Here is an 8,536-nt window from a genome sequence, read left to right on the forward strand (position 1 = left end):
TTGATTTGGGGTGGAGAGTTCTATAGATGTCTATTAGGTCTGCTTGGTGCAGAGCTGAGTTCAATTCCTGGGTATCCTTGTTGACTTTCTGTCTCGTTGATCTGTCTAATGTTGACAGTGGGTTGTTAAAGTCTCCCATTATTAATGTGTGAGAGTCTAAGTCTCTTTGTAGGTCACTCAGGACTTGCTTTATGAATCTGGGTGCTCCTGTATTGGGTGCATATATATTTAGGATAGTTAGCTCTTCTTGTTGAATTGATCCCTTTACCATTATGTAATGGCCTTCTTTGTCTCTTGGTCTTTGTTGGTTTAAAGTCTGTTTTATCAGAGACTAGGATTGCAACCCCTGCCTTTTTTTGTTTTCCATTTGCTTGGTAGATCTTCCTCCATCCTTTTATTTTGAGCGTATGTGTGTCTCTGCACGTGAGATGGGTTTCCTGAATACAGCACACTGATGGCTCTTGACCCTTTATCCAATTTGCCAGTCCGTGTCTTTTAATTGGAGCATTTAGTCCATTTACATTTAAAGTTAATATTGTTATGTGTGAATTTGATCCTGTCATGATGATGTTAGCTGGTGATTTTGCTCGTTAGTTGATGCAGTTTCTTCCTAGTCTCGATGGTCTTTACATTTTGGCATGATTTTGCAGCGGCTGGTACCAGTTGTTCCTTTCCATGTTTAGCGCTTCCTTCAGGAGCTCTTTTAGGGCAGGCCTGGTGGTGACTAAATCTCTCAGCATTTGCTTGTCTGTAAGTATTTTATTTCTCCTTCATTTATGAAACTTAGTTTGGCTGGATATGAAATTCTGGGTTGAAAATTCTTTTCTTTAAGAATGTTGAATATTGGCCCCCACTCTCTTCTGGCTTGTAGAGTTTCTGCCGAGAGATCCACTGTTAGTCTGATGGGCTTCCCTTTGTGGGTAACCCAACCTTTCTCTCTGGCTGCCCTTAACATTTTTTCCTTCATTTCAACTTTGGTGAATCTGACAATTATGTGTCTTGGAGTTGCTCTTCTCAAGGAGTATCTTTGTGGCGTTCTCTGTATTTCCTGAATCTGAATGTTGGCAAGCCTTGCCAGATTGGGGAAGTTCTCCTGGATAATGTCCTGCAGAGTGTTTTCCAACTTGGTTCCATTCTCCCCATCACTTTCAGGTACACCAATCAGACGTAGATTTGGTCTTTTCACATAGTCCCATATTTCTTGAAGGGTTTGCTCGTTTCTTTTTATTCTTTTTTCTCTAAACTTCCCTTCTCGCTTCATTTCATTCACTTCATCTTCCATCACTGATACCCTTTCTTCCAGTTGATCGCATGGGCTCCTGGGGCTTCTGCATTCTTCACGTAGTTCTCAAGCCTTGGTTTTCAGCTCCATCAGCTCCTTTAACCACTTCTCTGTATTGGTTATTCTAGTTATACATTATTCTAAACTTTTTTCAAAGTTTTCAACTTCTTTGCCTTTGGTTTGAGTTTCCTCCCTTAGCTTGGGGTAATTTGATCGTCTGAAGCCTTTTTCTCTCAGCTCGTCAAAGTCATTCTCTGTTCAGCTTTGTTCCGTTGCTGGTGAGGAACTGTGTTCCTTTGGAGGAGGAGAGGGGCTCTGCTTTTTAGAGTTTCCAGTTTTTCTGCTCTGTTTTTTCCCCATCTTTGTGGTTTTATCTACTTTTGGTCTTTGATGATGGTGATGTACAGATGGGTTTTTGGTGTGGATGTCCTTTCTGTTTGTTAGTTTTCCTTCTAACAGACAGGACCCTCAGCTGCAGGTCTGTTGGAATACCCGGCCGTGTGAGGTGTCAGTCTGCCCCTGCTGGGGGGTGCCTCCCAGTTAGGCTGCTCGGGGGTCAGGGGTCAGGGACCCACTTGAGGAGGCAGTCTGCCCGTTCTCAGATCTCCAGCTGCGTACTGGGAGAACCACTGCTCTCTTCAAAGCTGTCAGACAGGGACATTTAAGTCTGCAGAGGTTACTGCTGTCTTTTGGTTTGTCTGTGTCCTGCCCCCAGAGGTGGAGCCTACAGAGGCAGGCAGGCCTCCTTGAGCTGTGGTGGGCTCCACCCAGTTGAAGCTTCCCGGCTGCTTTGTTTACCTAAGCAAGCCTGGGCAATGGCAGGCGCCCCTCCCCCAGCCTCGCTGCCGCCTTGCAGTTTGATCTCAGACTGCTGTGCTAGCAATCAGCGAGACTCCATGGGCGTAGGACCCTCCAAGCCAGGTGTGGGATATAGTCTCGTGGTGCGCCATTTTTTAAGCCCGTCGGAAAAGTGCAGTATTTGGGTGGGAGTGACCCGATTTTCCAGGTGCCGTCTGTCACCCCTTTCTTTGACTAGGAAAGGGAACTCCCTGACCCTTTGCGCTTCCCGAGTGAGGCAATGCCTCGCCCTGCTTCAGCTTGTGCACGCTGCGTGCACCCACTGACCTGCGCCCACTGTCTGGCACTCCCTAGTGAGATGAACCCGGTACCTCGATGGAAATGCAGAAATCACCCCTCTTCTGCGTCGCTCACGCTGGGAGCTGTAGACCGGAGCTGTTCCTATTCGGCCATCTTGGCTCCTCCCACTCTTGAATGAATTTTCATATTTTAATAATACTGGGCATTTTTTTCACCTAAAAGATGGTATTTGGATCAAATGAATATGTAACAAAAGTGACTTATTTAGTTTCTCAGAGTTTCAATGTTCTTATATTTAAAATGAGAGATTAGGGCTATAAGATCTAAGTATCCTTGTTTGAAATTCTATTACTTTATGAGAAAATCTCGACAATTACTAATACAATAGAGCAAACATAAACATATATTTGTCCTTTGGAAACCTTTATGACATTTGAGAAGTCCAGTAAGGATTGTGTGTCTTGTTAAGCTTGCAATTACAAGAAGTGCAAATACTTTCAGATTTGTTTTGGCGTGATGTACCGTAGATTTCTTTTACCAATGTTGACTATCCACTGAAGTCTGGACTCTAAAATTCTTCAACATTCAAATTCACTGCCTGAGGAAAAACACATGGGTAGAACAGAGAATGAGACTATGGCATTTAATTATTAAATCAATGCATGTGCCTGACTTGCAGAAGCTAGGTACAGTTAAAATCTGGTTACAAGAAGTCAATCATCCATTCTGCAAAATTCTGAAAGCATGCAATCATACATTTTGCATTTGAAAGCACTTGAAAGATACAACAGTCTAGTGTATAACTAATTAACTAACTAGAAAGGAAAACATTACATTTGCATTGGGCACATTATATGACCTTTTTCTTTTGAACTTTTCAAACAGTATTGTAGTATGACAGGCATTTTCCTTTTACATAGTCACAGAGAGTTCTTACAGATCCTACATGAACTCACAGAGGACGTGAGAAGGAAATTTGTGGTTTTTCTTGCTCTTCTGTCTGTAAAACAGCTGAATTTGATTCTTCTTTGTTTTGCCCTAAGACTGTGATGATTTTGCTGTGAGATTTTTTAGACACCAACAACAGTTATAAATAAATATATTGTTTTAATGTGAGCTTAAAATTATGCAAGGCATGATTCTGTGTACTGTACATGCATCATCTTATTTAATATTCACAGAAATCCTAAGAAGTATGTATTCTTATGATACTTATTTTACAGCTATGGAGAAACTGTCAATATAATTTTCTAATGCCTCCTATCTTATAAGTATTGTTAGACATCAAATCCAAAACTTTTACAGATCTCAAAGCTCCTTCTCATAATCATCCATCATGGGGTCTCAGTACTCTTTCCTGTGCATCCATCCACACATATCTTGGTCTCTTCTAGTGCATGGATAAATGGGAGGAGAGCTTAATTTTCAACTGTAGCTATAGAAGAAGAAAGAAGTGTTTCTCATACCACATTAAAGTCAGTTCAATAAAACTAGTATTGGTTAATTTGCTAAGATATTTTACTTCCCTTAAGCATCAAAATGACCTTTTACATGTATCCAGCAGAATGTCCTTACTATATTTTCTTCCATTTTCATGGGTTCAAGTGTGAAAAGTATGCAGGAAAGCTGCAGCTGTGCTTAAAACTCTCATTTTCTATGTGTGGTTCTTTTGATCCTCCAATGAAAGGCCACAGAAGGAAAAAGCATGAATTTCTTTGTTTTGAGAAAAATTCATTACCCACTTGCTCAATAGATTTGAAAAATCCAGTCAAATTCCCAGGTAGGGTAGTAATATTTTCAGTAATGTTCATGTAGATTATCTCTTTCTTTGAGTTGAGTAGAAACTGCTCTGTGATATGGGCAAAATATGTTTCAAACCACATAATTGGTCAGAAATGAAGAAAAAATATGTCATTATAAGGGTATCGTTCTCTTTATGGCAAATAAAAGTAGAGAGGTTGACGATACAAAGCAGACAAGAAATTGCACTTCTATTCTGAGTGGCTTTCTCAGATAATCTCTAGAGGCTTTACAAGAATTAAAAATTCTTAATAGCAACATCAAACTTCAGTTACTTTGGTTTAGGTTTTAAAACAAATTGATTTAGCATTTTAGATCTCTAGTGGGGATTACTTCTGCATTCATGAAAGGTGTTGTTAGAGGCAGGCATACCATATGACCAATATGTGCTGATACAGGCAAAGATTTTTATAGTTTCCAGGAAGTCACAAAGATGCTTCCGTAACAACTGCAGGAATTGACCACCCCAATCTGTGAGAGTTGAGGATGGGAATTTAAATACATGGTTATTAGTGTAGAGAGCAGTTTGCACAAGTATCTTGGAACTGTCCTTATCTATTCTTTTCGTTGTTATTGCTACTATTTTTATAGAGCCCCAGGTGTCCAGAGGACCTCAAAGGTGATGTGAAACACAATGAAACAAAACACCTCTTGCAAATTCAACCTTGTGGTTATGATTTCAAGTATCACATCTGTTCTAATTAGCTCATAAGCAGATATGGAGCCTTATGTAATAAAATATCGTAGGAGTTAGTTACATTATTCTCAGTCTCACTAAAAATAACTGTACTTGACAGTTTGAGTAGCTTTTGTGAACATTGAATATTTTTAGGAGAACGTGAAAATTAGAAGAGGCTTTCTAAATATTTCTTAGTAAAACTTACTTAACAAACAATAAGGAAAAAAGACACTTAGATAAAGATAGAATAAATAAATAAATAAATAGCTTGATATTCACATTTGGATGAAGCAATTCTCTCACATTGATAGAAAAAAAGCATAAATGTGGAGGATCTTAGGTGTTGGAATATTCAATTCTAATACATAGAGTGCTCTATACTTATGAGAGAGAGGGGGAGGGGGGGAAGAGAAGAAGGGGAAAAAGAAGAAGAAGAGGTAAAAGAAGAAAAAGAAGAAGGAAGGAAGAGGAGGAGGAGGAGAAAGAGGAGGAAGGGGAGGAGGAGGGGAAGAAGAAGAGGAAGAGAAGGAAGGAGGAAGAGCGCAGAAGAAGAGGAAGAAGAGGTAGAAGAAAAAAAGAAGAAGGAAGGAAGAGGAGGAGGAGGAGAAAGAGGAGGAAGGGGAGGAGGAGGGGAAGAAGAAGAGGAAGAGGAGGAAGGAGGAAGAGCGCAGAAAATTATGGAAATAAAGAATTGATATCAGTAAGAATTAGAAAGAGAAATTTTACATTAACTTACCTTATAGGAGATGGAAACAGGACAATAATATTTAGTATATAAAATGTTATTTAAGCCTGATAATTTATAAAATAACTAATTAGACTATAATCACACTGAGGAGAGGGGCCCTAGTGATCTGCCAGCATAAAGTCCATCACAAAATAGGTAAAATTAGTGATTACCTAATGCTTGTCAAATAACATGGGGATAATAATTTGCTGCTTAAATCCCTGCAAATCTAGTTATCTTTAGATTAAGGTTAAAGTTTCATGGTAAAGAATATTTTCAACAAATGGTGCTTGCACAACTGGACATCTGCATTCAAGAGAATGAAGTTATACACTTACCTCACACTATATACAAAAATTAACTCAAAAATCAATCAAAGACCTAACTGTAAGAGTGAAAACTATAAAACTCTTAGAAGGAAACAGGTGTTCTTCATCACCTTGGATTAGGCAATGGTTTCTTAAATGTGACACCAAGAGCAGAAGTAATATAGTAAATAAAATAGATAAATTAGACTTCATCAAAATTCAAATCTTTTGTGTTTATAAGATATCATAAAGGAGGTGAAAAGGCAACCTACAGAATGGGAGAAAAATTTTGCTAGTAAAATATTTGATAAGGTGCTTTTACCTAGAATATATGAAGAATATTTATAACTCAATTATTTTAGAAAGACAGATAATATAATTTTTAAATGTAGAAAGCATCTGAATAGACATTTCTCCAAAAAAGATAAACAAATGGATAGAACCCGTGGACATGGCAAACCAGGTTATCAAGTACAAGGCTGCAGTTGCCTGGGAGGCTGGAAAGCCTCTCTCCATAGAGTAGATAGAGGTGGCACCCCCAAAGGCTCATGAAGTTCAAATTGAGATTGTTGCCACTGTGGTTTGCCACACTGACACCTATACCCTGAGCAGAGCTGGTCCTGAGGGTTGTTTTCCGGTGATCTTGGGACATGAAGGTGCTGGAATTGTGAAAAGTGTTGGTGAGGGAGTTACTAAGCTGAAGGCGGGTAACACTGTCATCTCACTTTACATCCCACAGTGTGGAGAATGCAAATTTTGTCTAAATCCTAAAACTAACCTTTGCCAGAAGATAAAGTCACACAAGGGAAAGGATTAATGCCAGATGGTACCAGCAGATTTACTTGCAAAGGAAAGATAATTTTACATTACATGGGAATCAGCACATTTTCTGAATACACAGTTGTGGCTGATATCTCTGTTTCCAAAATAGATCCTTTAGCACGTTTGGATAAAGTTGGCCTTCTAGGTTGTGGCATTTCAACTGGTTATGGTCCTGCTGTGAACACTGCCAAGCTGGAGCCTGGCTCTGTTTGTGCCATCTTTGGCCTGGGAGGATTTGGATCGGGGGTTACCATGGGCTGTAAAGTGACTGGTGCATCCCAGATCATTGGTGTGGACATCAATAAAGATAAATTTTCAAGGGCCAAAGAACTTGGAGCCGCTGAATGCATTAGTCCTCAGGATTTTAGTAAACCCACCCAGGAAGTGCTCATTGAGATAATGAGCACTGATGGAGGAGTGGACTATTCCTTTGAATGTACTGGTAATGTGAAGGTCATGAGAGCAGCACTTGAGGCATGTCACCAGGGCTAGGGCACCAATGTGGTGGTTGGAGTAGCTGCTTCAGGTGGAGAAATTGCCACTCATTCATTCCAGCTGGCAACAGGTCGCACATGGAAAGGCATTGCCATTGGAGGATGGAAGAGTATAGAAAGTGTCCCAAAGTTGGTGTCTGAATATATGTCCAAAAAGATAAAAGCTGATGAGTTTATGACTCACAATCTGTCTTTTGATGAAATTAACAAAGCCTTTGAACTCATGCATTCTGGAAAGAGCATTCGAACTGTTGTCAAGATTTAATTCCAAAGAGAAAAATAACATCCATCTTGTCGTGATCTGATGGGAGCAGCCTAACAGGCAGGGAGAAGCTCCTCCAAGCTCACAGCCTCGCAGACCTTCAGCAGCTACTCCAGAGAATAGTGTGATGTGTGTAATTCATGAATTTCTGTAATCAAGGACAAGGATAATTTAGTCATGAACCTGTTTTCTGGACCATCCTCCACATAAATAATTGCTAGCTCATTAAGGAATATTTTAACATAATAAAAGTAATTTCTACCAAAAAAAAAGACATACAAATGGCCAATAAGCACAAAAAATGTGTCCAGGCTGGGTGCAGTGGCTTATGCCTGTGCTCCCAGCACTTTGGGAGGCCTAGGTGGGTGGATCACCTGAGTTCAGGAATTTGAGACCAGCCTGACCAACATGGAATAACACTGTCTCTACTGAAAATACAAAATTAGCCAGGCGTGGTGGCGCATGCCTGTAATCCCAGATACTTGGGAGGCTGAGGCAGGAGAATTGCTTGAACTTGGGAGACAGAGATTGTGGTGAGCTGAGATTGTGCCATTGCACTCCAGCCTGGGCAACAAGAGCGAAATCCTGTCTCAAATAAATAAATAAATAAATAAATACAATTTAAAAAATGTGTCCAATGTTATTAGCCATTAGGGAAATGCAAATCAAAACCACAATGAGATACTATCTCACATTCATTAGATTGACTAAAATTAAAAAGACAGATAATAACAAGTGTTGGTTAAGATGGGGAGAAAGTCTATTCCTCATATTGCTGGTGGGAATGTAAAATGGTGCAGCCACTTTGCAAAACTATCCAGAAATTCTTCCTAAGGTTAACATTTGAGTTAAAATAGATTTAACATTTGACTCAGCAATTGTACCCCTAGGTATATACCTAAAAGGAATGAAAATATATGTCCACATGAAAACTTGGACATAAATGCGTATGGTGCCATTATTCATAATAGCAATATAGAGATAAATTCTCAGATATCCATCAATTTATGAATGAATAAATACAATGACACATATCCACACAATGGGATAGTATCTGGCAATAA

The 8,536-nt window shown here is 39.5% G+C and overlaps 1 pseudogene; it reads left to right on the top strand.

Annotated features, from left to right (window-relative positions):
- On the top strand, positions 6,333 to 7,734 carry ADH5P2 (ADH5 pseudogene 2; annotated as a pseudogene).

This window comes from Homo sapiens, chromosome 1 (genome assembly GCF_000001405.40).
Source record: "Homo sapiens chromosome 1, GRCh38.p14 Primary Assembly".
Lineage (NCBI taxonomy): Eukaryota > Metazoa > Chordata > Mammalia > Primates > Hominidae > Homo > Homo sapiens.